Raw genomic sequence first — 17628 nt, forward strand, 5'->3', positions numbered from 1 at the left:
GCGGCCCGGCAAGCTCATGGCGGTGAAAGCATGCATGGCCTTCTCAGCCTCCTGCACAAGGAGGGTGTCAGGATCGGTCTCCTCCTGGGGGCAGGTGCTGAGTGTGCTTGGCACCCGTGGGATCTAGGGGAAAGGAGGCTGCTCCCTGTCTGGTCTGTGGTTTCATCTCAGCCACCTGCACCCCAGGGCCTTGCTCAGCCGAGCCCAGCCCTGTCCCTCCCTGCCCGGCCCTGTCTGTCCCAGGAGCCCCAGTTCCCTAGGCCCCCATTGTTCTCCCAACCCTTCACCCTGTGGCCCTCCCAGCCTGGAGCTCTGGAGACAATTCACATTCCATTCCGTGAATTCCACAGCCCCCACCCCTGCCCTCAGCCTCCTTCAAAGTGGCCGCTGGGGCTGGGGTCTGTCTTTGCAGAGGTGCCAGGCCACATGCCCTGCCCACCTCTACCAGCTATGCCGCCTCTGAAGTTCCTCCAGCGGCACTGAGGAGGGGCCCTGTGGTCGAGGGTGCAGTTAAACGAGGCCCGACCGGGTAGTTGAGCTCAGCTTGGCTGTACTTGTCTTCCTTGGACCTGCTGGGCACCCCCAGGTAAGTCACTGCACGCCTGGACCTCAGTATCCCCCTCTGTAAAGTGGGGCAGAGACAGCAGGGCAGGGTGAAGACAGCAGGGCGGGGCTGAGACACTAGGGTGGGGAGGAGACAGTAGGATGTGGCAGTCATGAGCATGGGCCTTGGAGTCAGACACCCCTGCTCCCACCTTTGACCTGAGCAGGTGGTCAGGCCTCTCCATGCCTTGGTTTGTATCCATCCAGTGGAGAGGACACCAGTACCTATCTCACAGAGGCTGTGGGCTTTAGATGGGTCCCACAGGTCCCCATCATGATGGACTGCATATGTGTCCTCCAAATTCCTATGTTGAATCCTTAACCCCCAGTGCGATGTTATTATGGGGCCACTCGGAGGTAATTAGGTCAGGAGGACGGAGCCCTTGTGATGGGTTAGTGCACTTATAAAAAGAGACTCCAGGGAGCTTGCTTCATCTCGCTCTGCTCTCCACCATGTGAGGATACAAGGAGAACACAGCCATCTGCAAACCAGGAGGCAGGTCCTCACCAGACACTGACCTGCCGGCACCTGGAGCTCAGACTTCGAGCCTCCAGAAGTGCTAGCTCGTTGTCTAAGTCACTCAGTCTATGGGGATCTGGTGTAGCAGCCTGAACAGACTAAGACACCACCAAGTTCAGGGCCCGGCCGAGGTGAGGCTCGAGGGGAACAGCTGTTTCTAAGGGGCCTTTCAAAAGCCCCCTCCCCAGTGTCACTTCCTGCTATTCTCTGCCCCGACACTGGTTCTCCATGTGGTGCTGCCATCTTGCCTTTCCTCATGCTGCCCCCTGCCTAGCAGGCTTCTCTCAGCTTGTCCAATCCTCACCTGCACGCACATGCCAAATGGGAAGGGCATCCATTTTCCCTAGGGATCTGCTGGGCCCCAGCTATGCTAATGTCTCCTACCTCCAATCTTCCCACCTCCTCATTCTCTCTGTGGAGCCTAGCGGGTGCCTAGCACTGTACGCCCACCACACTCTCTGGGACAGGAAACCCCTCCAGCACATCTCCTTGGCCAGGTTCCTGCCGGACAGAGACTTAATTTGCCTTATGATTCAGCTCCCCTCCTGAGCTCCTGCCCTGTGCCTGCCTGGCCTGTGAGCTGCCCTCAGGTGGTTCCCAGGCTGTTGGGGATGGCGGAAGGTGACACCCTCTGAAACACAGTGATCTGAGCATATAGGAGGCTGGGGTATCCAGGGAAGGGGACCTAACTCTGTGGGGAAATGGGCTAACCAAGGAAGGCTTCTCAGAGGAGGTGGCACTGAGCTGAATCTTGAAAGATGAGTAGGATTCATCAGATGGACAAGGGAGTGGGGGTTCCTGCCTCACAGTAGGAAAACATACACGAAGCCCCAAAGGCTGAATGAAGCCACCAGAAGGGCTGCAGAATGACACATCTAACCCTTCACTAGGAGGCAGCACAGGGTAGAAGGGCTGGAGAAGAGCACTGGATTGTAGAAGAGGCCAGATAGAGCCAGGCTTAGGCACAGGGGTGCTGCTAGAGACATGCAATTAGTTGGCATTGCAGCAGGGCTCTCCTGGCTGCTGGCAAGGATGGCTTGGAACGGGTGAGACTGGAAGCCCAGAGCCCAGGGAGGGGCAGGGGCCCTGGCCTGCACAGGAGCAAGGAGGTAATAAGGAGGCAAATTTTCAGGAGCTACTCAGGCTCTGCACCGAGCCCTTCTATACTCTCTGGCCATTTCTCCTGGGCAATCTTTATCTCTACCTCCCTGTATATCTCAGGCCTCTCTTTCCAGAGCCACAGGGGCCACCTGACATCTCACAGGCTCATCTACCTTCCAAGACCAGCTCATCACTTCTGGCACCCCTCTCTATAGTTGCCTCCCAAAGTCTCCCATCTTATACCCACGGCCCCCTGGGCATCAAGCTGGACATCTGGGAACAACCTTCAGCACCAAGTCCCCCCACCACTCATCTGGACTTGCAAAAGTCTCCTTACTGGTCTCGCTGTCATCCAGGAGCCATGGTGAATTACTTAAAAATTCTTTTCTTCAGCGAGGCGCAGTGGCTCATTCCTATAATCCCAGCACTTTGGGAGGCTGAGGTGAGCAGATCACCTGAGGTCAGGAGTACGAGACCAGCCTGGCCTACATGGTGAGACCCCGTCTCTACTAAAAATACAAAATTAACCAGGCGTGGTAGTGCATGCCTGTAATCCCAGCTACTAGGGAGGCTGAGGCTGGAGAATCACTTGAACCCAGGAGGCGGAGGTTGCAGTGAGCTGAGATTGGGCCATTGCACTCCAGCCTAGGCAACAAGAGTGAAACTGTCTCAAAAAAAAAAAAAAAAATCTTTTCTCCAGCCTTAGAGCAAGGCCAGGGCATGCTTGCCCATCACCCTGCTGCACAGCCCAGGCCCTGGCACAGAAAACTGCACACTTGGTCATGTCCGCTTCTCTTTTTCAAGGGTTTCTGACCCTACACAGAATGGCTGCCTCACCTCCCATCCTCTCTCCAGGCTCCTGCGCTCCAGCCACACTGGCCTTGAACCTGCTCCTTCTTGCCTCGGCCTCCACAAGCTTTTTCCTCTGCTTGGCATGCCCTCCCCTGGCTCCTCCTCTGACAAATTCGCTCTCTTCCACCCCTCCCTGCAGAGCCATCTCCATGGTGGCCATCTGTGAGGCTATGACCGTCTCCCACCAGGTTGTGAGTCCCATGAGGTCGAGGCGGCAGAAAGCAGCACCGCTCAGATCCCAGAGCAAGGCAAGCAGGGAGCCACGCCTGCCTCGGGCCTAAGCCCTTGCCCAGGGCTGTCTTCAGAGCTCCTCTCCACCTCCTGGGGCAGGGCGGAGGCTGCTCCTGGCGGGCCCAACACTGAGAACCATCAGGGACTAAGGCAGAACCAGAACACAGGGATTTGCTCTCCTGCCAGCCCAGGCCTGCAACCCCCTCCTGCCCCTCACCTTCTTAGAGTTCCCTGGGGCCTGAGAACCCAGCAGGGTTCCACCCACAGTGCCCCGAAGGGTCACTTCCCTGCCTGCTCCCCTGATGGCCTCCTATACCTATCAAGAGCTAACTCACACCTTACCCTCTTCTGAAGCTGTTGCTGCCCCTCAGGCAGGGCTGGTCACCAGCCTCAGGGCACCCTGTGTCATTAGCTCCCTACTAGTCAGCCTCCCACCCAACCCCCTACGCACACACCAGGTCTGGAGCCCCTTGGAGTCAGAGCCTGAGCCTGCTCCATCTCCATCTCTGTGTCTGCACTCCCAGCACGGGGACTTCAGTTGGGGTTGGTGTGGAACAGGGTGGAAGGTGGAAGGAAGGATGGATGAATAGCAGAATCGAAGGGATACTCTGATCTCCAAACAGCCCCAGCCAGTTCTCCTCCCCCTCTGGTACCTCCTGCTCCACCTCCTGGGCAGGAGAGCAGCAGACCTAGCCCTCCCATTGCCAGTCCTGATTTGTAGGGTCTCTGAGGTGGTGAAAGGAGTCTAGGCCCCTTTCCCCTTCCTGCTTGGCCCACGTGCACCTCCTGGAGTCTCAGCGCCAGAGAAACCCCCTCTGGAGGGAGGCATCTCTCAGCAATGTCAGGGAAGGGACACGGTCAGCTCGTTTGTCAGCCCTGCTGGTCAACACCTGCCCGCCTCACAGGGAGGGGCTGGCGCTGGCCTCCCCTCCGGGGCCTGTTTCCCTTGGAGCCCTTTCCCAGAGCTGTCTAGAGCTCCCCACGAGCAAGCCCTGCTCATTTCCTTCTGAAAATACAAACCACTTCCTGCCTTCGCAGAGAACTGCTCCGGTGAAATGGGCCATGGTCTCGGAGTCGTCTATGCACCACCCCCCACGACCCAGCTGGTCAGAGCTGTGCCCCCGCCTCCCCGACCACACAGTCAGCCCATCCACAGGCTCCGTCCAAGTCCTCCTGCCTATCCAGCCCTGCACAAAGGAGCGGGGCAGGAGCAGGGTGTTCTTTGATTCCACAGACCTCCAGCGACATCTCCTCTGTGCCAGGACCTCAGCTGGCCACAGGGGAACCAAGTCAGCATGCCCTAGCACTGCCTATGGCTCTGCCAGCCTGGACACTGTCATCCCACATCCGGGTTTGCATTCTGACTCGGCCACTCTCAAGGCCATTTGGCCCCAGCAAATGCCTGGACCTAGGCCCCAGGTGCAGAGAGAACAGGGCTACGGGAGGAGCAGAGGAAGTAAGGTGTTTCTCACTGCAAAGCCCTCAACAAATCTTAGATAATAAGCAGGTGGCAAGGCTACAAATGCTTGGGGCTCAGCGAGCAGTTCACTCTGGAAGGGGTGAAGAGCTTCACAAACCATGATGTGGAGAACAAGAGCCTGCAGCCCCTGGAGACCAGGACCTCGAGGTCTGCCCCCCACAACCTCTGCCCAGGATCCCAGTGTACAGAAGGGGACACTGAGGTCCAGAGCGGAGCATGACCTGTCTCAGGTCCCACACTGAATCATGGCAGTGCCTGGGGTGGAAGGGACCATCAAAGCCAGGTTCACTGCAGGTGCCCTCACAACCCTAGACAAAGGGGAAGAGGAGGCAGGAAGGGGAGGCTATGGAGAGGATGGGGGCCAGGGGAGGCACAGGGGTGAAGCCTGGGGCAGGGATGAGGGGGCAGCAGGTGAACAGATGTGCGATGCACACACACAGCTGATGACCCCTGGATGCCCCCAGGCCCTGCAGACTCCCCATGCCCATCCATCCTCAAACCCGCTCTCCCTGGGTTCTCTCAGAAATGGCACTTCCAGAAGCCCAGCCAGACGGTGGGCATCCCCTGAATGACCCGCCTTCCCCTCCCTCCCCACAGTGAACTTGTCTACACCTCATGAAAACCTCTCCACGGTGACGATGTGAAGCACCTGGAGCTCACACAATGCTGGGCGAGTATAACTGAGTACAAATACTTTGGAACACTGTGTCACACATAAAGCTGAACATCTCCTATGAACCAGCAATCTACTCTTAGGGACATATCCAGTGGTGTGCTGGTAAATGTATAACAACCAGCTCTCAAAAAAAAAAAATAAATAAATAAAAAGCTGGGCGAGGTGGCTCACGCCTGTAATCCCAGCACTTTGGGAGGCCGAGGCAGCTGGATCACCTGAGGCCAGGAGTTCGAGACCAGCCTGGCCAACATGGTGAAACCCAGTCTCTACTAAAAATACAAAAATTAGCCAGTCATGGTGGCGGGCACCTGTAGTCCCAGCTACTCAGGGGGCTGAGGCAGGAGAATCATCTTTTTTTTTTTTTTTTTGAGACAGCGTCTTGCTCTGTTGCCCAGGCTGGAGTGCAGTGGCGCGATCTCAGCTCACTGCAAGCTCCGCCACCCGGGTTTATGCCATTCTCCTGAAGAATCATTTAAACATGCAAGGCGGAGGTTGCAGTGAGCCGAGATAGGATCATTGCACTCCAGCCTGGGCCACAGAGTGAGAATTCCTTAAAAAAAAAAAAAAAAAAAAAAGGAAGAAAGAAAGGAAAAGTCCTGATTTGTAACATTTGCCAAATTCTATGGTGTCAATAATCCCACTGTGGCCTATTTGAAACTACCAATGCAATGCCCCGGAACGCAGAGTTGGGAAGAGATGCATGTAATGGACTCTTTTTTTGAGACAGGGTCTCCCTCTATCACCCAGGCTGGAGTGCAGTGGTGCAATTTCGGCTCACTACAACCTCCGCCTCCCGGGTTCAGTCGATTCTTCTGCCTCAGCCTCCGGAGTAGCTGGGATTATAAGCGCCTGCTACCACACCCAGCAAATTTTTGTATTTTTAGTAGAGACAGGGTTTCACCATGTTGGCCAGGCTGGTCTCGAACTCCTGACTTCAAAGTGATCTGCCTGCCTTGGCCTCCCAAAGTGCTGGGATTATAGGCGTGAGCCACCGTGCCCCGTCACATGTCATGGACTCTTGCAAGCTGGCTCCGGCACATCACTGAATGTATCCCGCACACTTGTGTACAAATGCACCCCCATAGACAGGTTCTGGCATGCTCATAGCAGCACTGTTCCTAAAGCTCCAACCCAGACACTACCCAAATGCCCACCAACAGTAGAAAGGGAAAATCAATTGTGATCCCTTCACACAACAGAATGCAATACAGCAATGAGAGTGGCCAGCCACTGCTACTACATGCAGCCCCATGGAGGACTCTCACAGATACAACTCTGAACGAAAGAGGCCAGGCGTGAACAGCACAGGTGGAACTGAGGAGTCCCAACCCAGGGCAGGAAGGGCACAAGAACATCGTCCTGTTTGTGGACTCACCTGGTAGTTACCCGGATGTGTTCACTTTTGATAATTTATTAAGGAATATTTTTATGATTGGTGCACTTTCCTGTATGCATGTTATATTTCAAAAACAAGTTTTCATGAAAAAAAAAAAAAGCAAACAAATACAAATGCTGTCTGCTGTCCCCTCCTGTCCTCCCATGCCCTTGCCCTGTGCAGGCCAGCACCGCCTCCCCCTGGATGGCTGCCCTGGCCTTCCTCTCATGTGCTCACCTCCCCATACCTCCCACTCCCACTCCAAATTATAGTCGCCAGGCTTAGCAATAAAAGTACACAAATGCCAAAAAAGTTATTCACTGTTTATCTGAAATTCACATTTGACTGAGGGTCCTATGTTTGACCTGACAACTCTACTCCTGATGCGTGTTCAACCCCCGCCTCCTGAGAGGTCTTCCTCAAAGGCAAATTGGGCCATGTCCCTCCCCTTCCCCTGCTCCCCTCTGGCCTAGGACTCACCAAACTCCTTAGTATGATTTTTAAGACTCTCCATTTCCAGCCCCCTCCAGTGTTTTCCAGTCCCACACTCTAACTACACCAAACTTCTCATGCATTCATTCCTTCAAAAGATGTTTGCTGAGTGCTCGCTGTGTGCCAGGCCCTCTTCCCAGCCACACCGTTCCCTCTAGAGGACTGTCACTCTGCAGGTGCTGTTTTCCCTGCCTGCCTTCGGTGCCTTCCATAGCTGGGCACCCTGATGAACTCATCTTCAGAATGCAGGTCAGGCCTCCGCCTCCCCCAGGGCACACCCCCACCCTCCTGACCTCGGTCTATGTTAGGGGCCCCTCCCTGGGGCTCCTCTTTGTCCCAGCTCTGAGCACACCGCTTTGTCATTGTCATTGCCTGTGTCCACACCTGTCTCCCCACCAGACTGTGACTTCATCCTGGACGAAGGCCAGGTCTGACTCATCTCGGGGTCCCCAGCCCCGGCCCAGGGCCTACAGAGAAGCTGGCACCAGGAAAGGTGCGTGGAGTGTGTGGGAGAATCAGTGATAAATGATCACAGGGAGCAGAGTCCTGGAGTTTTCAAGACGGTTCTGATTTCGGTTTCTGTCCAGTTGCTCCCATAAGAAGCCAGCTGTGGCCAGACCACATGTCTCACCTGCTGGCTTAGAAAGCACAGTCTCCATCTACAGGAGAGGCATGGGACCTGGGGTGGTGGTGTTATATCCTGATGCTCCAGTTCTGCCTCTGCCCCAGGGGCTCCCTGCTCCCTCCAGTCCCCAAGCCTCAGTCCCAAATCTGTGACGGGGTCTGGGGAGACTGGGAAGTGTCTGAGGGTCCCTGCCATGCAGCCCTCTCACCCTCACTTGTCTTCTCTGAGCTGCCTCTGTGCCTCACGCTCGAGCGCCTTTGGCTCTGGGAGGCGAGACTGACAGCAGCAGAGGTGAAACCCCGGGTGCATTAATGGAGCCCGTGTTTACCCAGGCTGGGCCCGTAAAATGCCTCAAGCGGAACTGAGCTCGGCTTGCAGCTCCCGGGCATTGTCCGTTACGGCTGTTGAACCTTGGAATGGACCACCCGGGTGGGCATCTCATTCCCTTGACACCTTGGAAAACTCCAAAGGGAAGCTTGGGAATGCCTTGAGGCAGAGGAGTAGACAAGGATGCGTTGCAGGGCTCAGGGCCCTGAGAGGTTGGCCTGTCCAGCCTCTTGCCTTATGCTGCATTATGGCCTGGGGGAGAATGACTTGGGCTTTTTCTGCATGCTGCCTCTAAGCGGAACCCTGCAGTGGTACCCAGTAGACATGGCTCTGTGACTTGTCACCTCTGCCTGGTGTAGGTCTTCTTTCTCTACACTATTGCTGGGCTCTGTGGGCAGGTCCTGGGGCACCTCATCTCTCAGCCCCCCAGCCTGGCCCTTTTCTGAGTTCCTCTTCTCTGTCCTGCCCTGTGCAAGGGAAGAATCAGACTCTGTCTTGCCTTTAGGGAGTTCCCTGTATGAAAACAGCTAGCGCTGAGTACCCAGTAAACTAGAGGATGAGGCAGGCGTTCATCCATCCATCCACCCATTCTTGCATCCATCTCTTGGCAACAGTCCCATCAGTTTCTGGGGAACAAAGTTACCAGTGTAGCCTTGGGGGTCACGTGGTTCTGACTTCAAACCTGTCCCTATCAATCACATGACTTTTGGCTTCTCTCTCTACCTCTTTGGACCTCCGTTTCTGCATTGTTTTTAAAAAAAAATCCCACCTCACAGAGTAGTTACGGAGATTCCCTGAGACAATGCTCATCCACTGATTAGAACAGGGCCAGGCACCAAGGCAGACATACCCAGAAGCTAATAAAGTCTACACTTCAGTGCCCCTTGCTTACAGCTGTCCCTTCGCTGGAAGATAGATACCCTAGCAATGCGTTCCCATGGTCATATGTTTTTGTAAAACTTTGCACAAAGCAAGGTATTCTAGCCGCAAAGGGTTGATACCGCTGTTTCTTTTCACTTTTACTTCCCCTCCTTCCTTTCCTGTCAAGGGGTGTTGAGTGGCTGAGGCATTTGGGGGATTTAGCTGAAGGGAAGCTGAGCTGAGGATACATTTACAGTAATTTGGGATTAGTGGTGCATATTTATATGGTTCGCGGTCACTTACGGGTAGAGTTATTACTAGACGTTCTGGTATAGGAACAGCTTTCAGAATGAATACCTATACTGCCTGCCCACCGTGCCGACTCATTTGGTGTCATAGCTGTGACCGGGGCTGGAAGTCTGTGGACAGTGGAGGAGAAACAAGGTTTGAAATGTATAGAGACTGAAGCCAGTCTGGAGTATTCGTTCAGGCATCAGATGTACCAAATTGTAGGCAAAGAATTTGGGCCTCATCAAAACAGAAATTATCAGCCTCGTGTGGTGGCTCATGCCTGTAATCTCAGCACTTTGGGAGGCTGAGGTGGGCAGACCGTTTGAGTCCAGGAGTTCAGGACCAGCCTGGACGACATGATGAAACCCCCATCTCTACAAAAAAATGCAAAAAAAAAAAAAAGTTCTTTGGGCATGGTAGTGCATGCCTTATAGTTCCAACTACTCAGGAGGCTAAGGTAGGAGGATCACTTGAGCTCAGGAGGTGGAGGCTGCAGTGACCCATGATTGCACCACTGCATTCCAGCCTGGGTGACAGAGTGAGACCCCCTCTCAAAAAACAAACCAACCCAGTAATGATCTTGCATCAGGAATGTCATAGATAGTGCAGCCTATATAATTAGAAATTATAAATACATCTTTTCTGGACCGGGTGCAGTGGCTCACACCTGTAATCCCAGAACTTTAGGAGGCTAAGGAGGACAGATTGCTTGAGCCCACGAGTTTGAAACCAGCCTGGGCAACATGGCGAAACCCCATCTCTACTAAAAATTCAAAAATCAGCTGGGAATGGTGGCATGCATCTATAATCCCAGCTACTCCAGGACTGAGAGGTGGGAGGATCACTTGACCCTGGGAGGTAGAGGCTATCGTGAGCTGAGATCCCACCACTGCACTCCAGCCTGGGTGACAGAATGAGATCCTGTCTCAAAAACAACAACAACAACAACAACAACAACAAAAAACCACAATAGGCTGACGCAGTGGCTTATACCTGTAATCCTAGCATTTTGGGAGGTCGAGGCGGGCGGATCACTTGAGGTCAGGAGTTCGAAACCAGCCTGGCCAATATGGTGAAACCCTGTCTCTACTAAAAATACAAAAAAAAAAAATTAGCTGGGCCTGGTGGCAGGTGCCTGTAATCCCAGCTACTCAGGAGGCTGAGGCAGGAGAATCACTCAAACCCAGGAGGCAGAGGTTGCAGTGAGCCGAGATTGTGCCACTGCACTCCAACCTAGGTGACAGAGTGAGATTCCATCTCAAAAAAAAAAAAAAAAAACAGACAAAATAAATAAAAAGTAAATAAATACATCCAGGTTTTCTTCTTGATGGGAATCATGTGAAATAGAATTTGCCAGAGCTCTACATTTGTAGGGCACAACCCTACAGCAGTAGAACAAATAGCAAGTGTATTTGTGTCTGAAGCTGCATATTTTATGCATCTCAATTGTCAATCATAATACACTAGTTTCAATCAATCACATGAAAAAAAGACTGAATTATCTTTCTATTCTTTCTATAGAAAATATTGCATAAGTTGTCCAGGCGCAGTGGCTCATGCCTGTAATCCCAGCACTTGGGGAGGCCAAGGTGGGCGAATCATGGGGTCAGGAGCTCAAGGCCAGCCTGGCCAACATAATGAAACCCCATCTCTACTAAAAATACAAAAAAAAAAAAAATCTGCCAGGCATGGTGGCAGGCACCTGTAATCCCAGCTACTTGGGAGGCTGAGGCAAGGAGAATCGCTTGAACCTGGGAGGCTTCAGTCTCTATACATTTCAAACCTTGTTTCTCCTCCACTGTCCACAGACTTCCAGCCCCAGTCACAGCTATGATGCCAAACGAGCATCTTGGATGCTGATACACCATGTTGACTTCTGATTAACCCCTGTTCTGGGAAGGCCTCTAAGATTTCCAGTTTCTCTATTGTTCCTTGTGTAAGAGTGCACACTTACTGTAAATCCTGCCCTTAGGCCAAAACAACCTTGATGTTGTAGTACTTCGATTGTCCTACACATCCCTTCTGAATCACAGATGCCCTTTCCCTATGGTATATAAGCCCTGGGTCTTCGGGGGATAATGGTGCAGGGATCCACCATCTTGTCTCACTGCCACCCAAGACACAACAATGACTTCTGTTTGTCAGACCCTATTACATTTTTCTCTCTAAGAAACTGATTTGGCCAGCTTCAGCCTCTCGGTTTCCTCGGACACTGGGGACAGGTTTGCATATGCTTGCCCACCATGGAACACCATCCTATGGGGTCCTTGAAGCCTGGTGTGCACGGTTAGGAGCCCAGTGTAAAGGCTGGGCACACAGATGAGTTGAATACAGTTGCAATCTGTGGGCATACTCCCATAGAATGCACAGATACCTCTGTAAGATGCAGAACCCCTGCCTTATGTGGGCAAATAAAATAACACAATAGCCACTTACTGAGCATCTATAATACATGAAACCTATTTATATAATGTAACCGCCAACAGGACTCAGTGACTTACACTTGTAATCCCAGCACTTTGGGAGGCTGAGTTGGGGGAATCACTTGAGGCCAAGAGTTTGAGATGACCTTGGGCAACACAGCAAGATCCTGTCTCCACAAAAAATAAAAAAATTAGCTGGGCATGGTGGCTTGTGCCTGTAGTCCCAGCTACTCAGGAGGCTGAGATGGGAGGATCGGCTTGAGACCAGGAGGTGGAGGCTGCAGTGAGCTACGAACGTGCCATTGTACTCCAGGCTGGGCCACAGAGTGAGACCCTGTCTCAAAAATAAATAAGTAAAATATAATTTAATTCCCTCTTGGAGTATTATCCCCATTTTACCCAGGTGGGGAAACTGAGGCCCAGGGAGGTTAAAAACTTGCTCAAGATCACAGAGATCATGAGCTGTGGCTGGAGTTTAAGCCCCACCATCCACCCCGGAAGTGGATGTTCTTGTCCTGCCTGTTGCCACCCACCTCTTGGTTCAGGCCCATGTTACCCAAGCCTTCCTCTGTGCCCGGCCCAGTGTTGGGGCTGGGGTACAGGATAAACCTTCAGGGATCTGCCAGGGCAGGTTTGCTTCCTACATAGTCAATGCTAAGATGAGATAGCCGTTCTCAGAGCAGAAACTGGAAGAATCTGAGCTGGGGTCAGAGGGCCAGAGGTGGCCTTTGCACAGAGCCTTAACAGGTAAAGAGCGATGAGCCTCAAGACCATCTGCTTTGAATCCCCATTTTACAGACAAGACCACAGAGGGGTGCAGGAAGCAGGGGCACAGCTGGGCCTGTAACCCAGGCCCTCACACCCAGCCGGGCATTCAGGCCCTGCTCTCTGCCCACGGCCTCCTGCGAGTCCTTGCTGACTGTTCAGAGGGCAGCCAGGTGGTAGGAAGGTGGGAGCAGGGAAAGAATGGACCAAGAGTGGAGGTAGCCTCCAGAGGACACAGAACGCTCCTGTCACAGAGGGCCTGCCTGGGCAGAGGGAGTGGCAGACACAGGCTCCACCCACACTGGACTCACAGTATTTGCTGAAGGAAAACATGAACAAATGAATGAGTGGGGTCCCAGAGGGCAAAGTGAGGATCAACAGAAAGGAGGCTCAGGAAGCCAGATGTTTGAACCAGCGTCTGGAAGCATCTTCTCCCAGGCAGATGGGCCCCACATGAGGTTACTCTGGGAGGAGGGAGCACACGCCCCATCAAGGCAGGGGTGGAAAAATCACTTCCTGGAGGGCTATTGGTCAGGACTGCTGCAGCCAGGATTCCCTCCTGAGGAGCTGGTGTCTCTGGTCTGAGCTTCTTCCCACAAAGCCGCCTGGCCCAGAGCTGACTTGCATTAGGAGAAGGGACGTGCTTGCAGGCCAGTGATCTAGCCAGCTGACAGGTACCCCTCTGCTGGGCCAGGGGGGCCAGCCTCTGACCTCCACACCAGACACCAGCTCCCAGTGCCCGCTGGCCCCATGGGCCAAGGCCAGCCTGCCACCAGCTCATGGCGTGGCTGCGTGGAAGGTGGATCCCCTTGGTGCCTTCGCCTGCCCTGTCTGCAATCAAGACTGTTTTGATGCAAAAATCATTCCTATTTCCCCCCATGTTGCAGCCTAAAAACATGTTTACTTTATTCCTTTCATATAAAGGGTGGAGGTGGGATATAAATTGTATCCTCAGTCACGGATACAATTTCTTGGGTACAAAAGCCTCCCCCTGTAGTCGGGATGGGGGTGGTCCCCAGAACAGCCTGTCCTGGGTCATTTCTTTCTCCTCCTCTTTCTCGTCCCCAGGGCTACCTTGTTCTTCCAGTCTCTTCACCTCTCTGAGTCTTGGTTCGTGTCCTGTAGAATAAGAATATAGCGTGATTTTACAAAATCAAAACAAACCAAAAAATGTTATTTAGAAAGGAATGATCGTCTGCACCCAACTCAGGGGCTATGAGGACTGGCAGGACGCCTGGCAGGTGCCTGTTCCCTGGCTGGCTTTCAGGCCCCCAGTCTCGACCCCCACCCCACGGCAGGCCTGAGCGTGGGAGCTGCCCCACAAAGCACTGTGTCCAGCTCCTGCTCCTCTCATTTTGTGCCTGGGAGAAAATGGAAACTCTGAGGGCTTCAAACTCAATGTGTTTTATGGGCCCTGTGAACCCAGCAGCCCCGTAAAGTTGCTCTAGATGGTTTCCAGGTCCTGAGACCTCCTGGGATCCCCTGACCCAGGGAACCCTGAGCTCACTGGAGAGCACTGGGCCTCAAAACCAAAGGACAAGCTGCCAGACCCATGGGACTGGGCCGCCGAGATAACTCCCTCTGCCTACCTTGCTGCCCTTGCAGCCTGAGAGAGGCAGGGAATGGCTCTCACCATGGATGGGGCCATCAGAGGACCCAGAGAGGGATTCTACCTGCAGTGATTCTCAGCAGCTTCTGGCTTTCCAAAGAAATAATGTATCAACCCAGCCAGGGCCCGGGCGCTGAATGGGCTGAAGGAGTGGCCGTGCTGCCCACCCACATGGCTCTCACAGAGGTGTGGCGGGGGCCGCTGGAGAACGGCAGCCTCCCTCTGCTTCCCTTCCCAGGAGGGCCATGGTTATAGACACAGGTTCGGAGTCAGCCCCAGCTTGAATCCTGCTTCTGCCACCAGCCCTGTGACCTGAAGCAAGTGAGTCCCAATCACCTCATCTGTGCACTGAGATGCAGAGTGGCTATTTCTACTGCATGTGGCTGTTGTGGGGACTGGGCGAGAGAGATCCCCAATAGGTGCTATGATTTTTCTCCCTGCTTTGCCCTCCAGGTAAGATGGTACCAACCATGGACCCAACAGATGGGCACATCCTGTTGTTGCCATGTCCCAGTTCTCTCTGGGGCTTTGCCCAACCCAGCTACATTCTTTCTTTCTTTCTTTTTTTTTTTTTTTTAGAGCGGAGTTTCGCTCTTCTTGTCCAGGCTGGAGTGCAATGGTGCAATCTCCACTCACCGCAACCTCCGCCTCCCAGGTTCAAGCGATTCTCCTGCCTCAGCCTCCCGAGTAGTTGGGATTACAGGCATGCGCTACCATGCCCAGCTAATTTTGTATTTTGAGTAGAGACGAGGTTTCTCCATGTTGGTCAGGCTGGTCTCGAACTCCTGACCTTAGGTGATCCACCCACCTCGGCTTCCCAAAGTGCTGGGATTACAGGCATGAGCGACCACTCCTGACCCTACATTCTTTCTTGTTCCTTGATTGTCAAGGAACTTCCAACGGAAACATCTACTTTCTTGTTCTCTAGCCATACCCGGAAGCCCCCGAGTTTTGATCTGGCCCAGGTAGACCGATCATTTCCTCCAAGTCCCCCTTCCCTGAGGAGCTGGCGTGCTTCAGTCTCACAGGTAATACCACTACTACTAATGTCCATAATAATGATAGGAATAGCTGGCATTTACGGAGGGCGAGCCCCTCATGTATTGCACGTTACACACAATTGAGTTACAGAAACAAACCCAATTCATCTTCACCACTATCTGTGACATAGGTGCCAACATTATCCCATGTTACAGATGAGGATGCTGAGGCACAGAGACAAGTAACTTGCCCAAAGTCACATAATTAAGGAGTAGCAGAGCTGGAATTCAAACTTGTGAAGTCTGGTTGTAGAGCCCCCACAATGATCATTCTTGGCACATGCTATGCATGCATTCATGAGACATGAATGGGGACTGGAAGGCACAGAGAACGTGGGACAAGAGGAGTGTCCTCCAGGCTGGACATCCACAAAGCCCAAGTGTAGATGTGTTCCGCAAATGCTGCATGCCCACTATCTCTTTTTTTTCTTTCTTTCTTTCTTTCTTTTTTTTTTTTGTGATGGAATTTTGTTCTTGTTTTACAGGCTGGAGCGCAATGGCATGATCTCGGCTCACCGCAACCTCCACCTCCCAGGTTCAAGCAATTCTCCTGTCTCAGCCTCCCGAGTAGCTGGGATTAAAGGTGCATGCCATCACACCTGGTTAATTTTTGTATTTTTAGTAGAGACTGGGTTTCATCATATTGGTCAGGCTGGTCTCGAACTCCTGACCTCAGGTGATCCGCCTGCCTTGGCCTCCCATAGTGCTGGGATTACAGGAGTGAGCCACTGAGCCCCGCCTACACGCCCACTATCATTGCCATTTTCAGATGAGGTGGGTGAGCCTGAGAGGCGGAGGAGAGGTGAGTAGCCTAGGAGCTCACAGAACTGAAGGAAGGGACCCCAGGGCCCTGCCTGCTGAGGTCCAGAGATTTCCCTGGCGGTATGATGCCCCCATGGCCTGGGCATTCTGGAGCCGACCCTGTCACCTACAATGTTATTCTCACCGTAAAGGCATCAAGGTGAGGGTGGTGCTTCCCAGGACATGCTCCCTGGACCACCTACCTGTGCCAGAGTCTCCCAGACACTTGTGAAAATGCAGATTCCTTGGTTCCATTCCTGAGCTCCTGAATTAGAACCTCCAGGGGTTGAGAAGAAGCATTAGGCTAGAAGGATTTCTGCTCGGACGTTGGAATCCATTCAGATACAGAGTCAAGGATCCCTGGGCAAGTCATTGAATTTCTCTCAACCTTCATTTTTTTTCATCTATAACTTGGAAATGATAAAACCAGTGGCTGTGAGATTCAATGAAATAGTGTGTGTGTGACTGGTGTATGGAAGAGGCCGAATCAGTGGCATGCAAGTAAAAAACTTTTTCGCTACCATCTTTCTTTTTTTTTTTTTCTGAGACAGAGTCTCGCTTTGTTCCCCAGGTTGGAATGCAATGGCGCTATCTCAGCTCACTGCAGCCTCCGCCTCCAGGGTTCAAGTAATTCTCCTCCCTCAGCCTCCTAAATAGCTGGGACTTTAGGCGCGTGCCACCACACCCGGCTAATTTTTGTATTTTTAGTAGAGATGAGGTTTCACCATGTTGGCCAGGCTGGTCTCGAACTCCTGACCTTAGGTGATCCACCCTCCTCGGCCTCCCAACATACTGGGATTACAGGTGTGAGCCACCATGCCCGGCCTCACTACCATCTTTCAAACCTGCCCTGTTGGATCTCCCTCCCCACCCCTTGAAAAGGACCTAGGGACCAGGCACGGTGGCTCACTCCTGTAATCCCTGCACTTTGGGAGGCCGAGATGGGTGGATCACAAGGTCAGGAGTTCAAGACCAGCCTGGTCAACATGGTGAAACCCCATCTCTACTAAAAATACAAAAATTAGCTGGGCATGGTGATGCATGCCTGTAATCCCAGCTACCTGGAAGGCTGAGGCAGGAGAATTGCTTGAACCCAGGAGGTGGAGGTTGCAGTGAGCCAAGATTGTGCCACTGCACTCCAGCCTGAGACAGAGTGAGACTCCATCTCAAAAAAAAAAAAAAAGGGAAAGGACCTAGGGTGGACCCACATCTCCCTGCTCTGCGTTCAGTATTAAGGAACAGGCTCGTCTTCAGCTGGTAACAGGTGCACCCAGTCTGACCCCAGGAGCTTAATCTCATGCCCAATTCAAAGTTCCTCCTCCCCCAGCTCAGGCCCATTCCCTGATTCTACTGCTGGGTGGGGAGGGGCTCAGTTGGTTCCTCTCTTACCTCCTTCCACTCCTCTAGGCTGCCCTCTGCCCACAGTCAGGCCTAGAATGGGGAGTGGAGGGCAGTGTGGAACACCAGTAGGGTCTTACCAGAACTGCTGAATCCAGGATAGGGGAGTCCTCTCAGGGTGGCAATGTGCAAACGCCAGCCTTCTCTCTTTGGGGTGT

At 53.0% G+C, this 17628-nt stretch overlaps 1 long non-coding RNA gene across 5 annotated transcripts in view, besides 2 other annotated features; it reads left to right on the top strand.

The window, feature by feature from the left end:
• The first annotated feature begins 353 nt into the window (after positions 1–353).
• Positions 354–17628, top strand: part of LOC105369395 (uncharacterized) — a 36263-nt gene continuing 18988 nt past the window's right edge. Inside the window, exons 1-4 of one of the 5 annotated variants that reach the window (XR_950332.1) lie at positions 354–586; positions 14470–14684; positions 15160–15259; positions 15757–15797. This is a non-coding gene — a long non-coding RNA (uncharacterized LOC105369395). Of the gene's footprint in view, positions 587–7742; positions 7824–14469; positions 14685–15159; positions 15260–15756; positions 15798–17628 lie in introns of those variants that run through there. The other 4 variants (XR_950328.3, XR_950329.3, XR_950333.3 and 1 more) reach the window with 4 other exon arrangements.
• Positions 7221–8016: an enhancer, noted in NCBI's record as "H3K4me1 hESC enhancer chr11:76002308-76003103 (GRCh37/hg19 assembly coordinates)". NCBI's record gives its function as "activates a minimal SCP1, AML or CMV promoter by ChIP-STARR-seq in primed H9 embryonic stem cells {active_cell/tissue: H9 hESC(primed)}" and the evidence as "EXISTENCE:reporter gene assay evidence [ECO:0000049][PMID:30033119]".
• Positions 7824–7883: an enhancer, noted in NCBI's record as "active region_5286". NCBI's record gives its function as "activates an Ori minimal core promoter by ATAC-STARR-seq in GM12878 lymphoblastoid cells {active_cell/tissue: GM12878}" and the evidence as "EXISTENCE:reporter gene assay evidence [ECO:0000049][PMID:35858748]".

Source organism: Homo sapiens, chromosome 11, assembly GCF_000001405.40.
Source record: "Homo sapiens chromosome 11, GRCh38.p14 Primary Assembly".
NCBI classification, from domain to species: domain Eukaryota; kingdom Metazoa; phylum Chordata; class Mammalia; order Primates; family Hominidae; genus Homo; species Homo sapiens.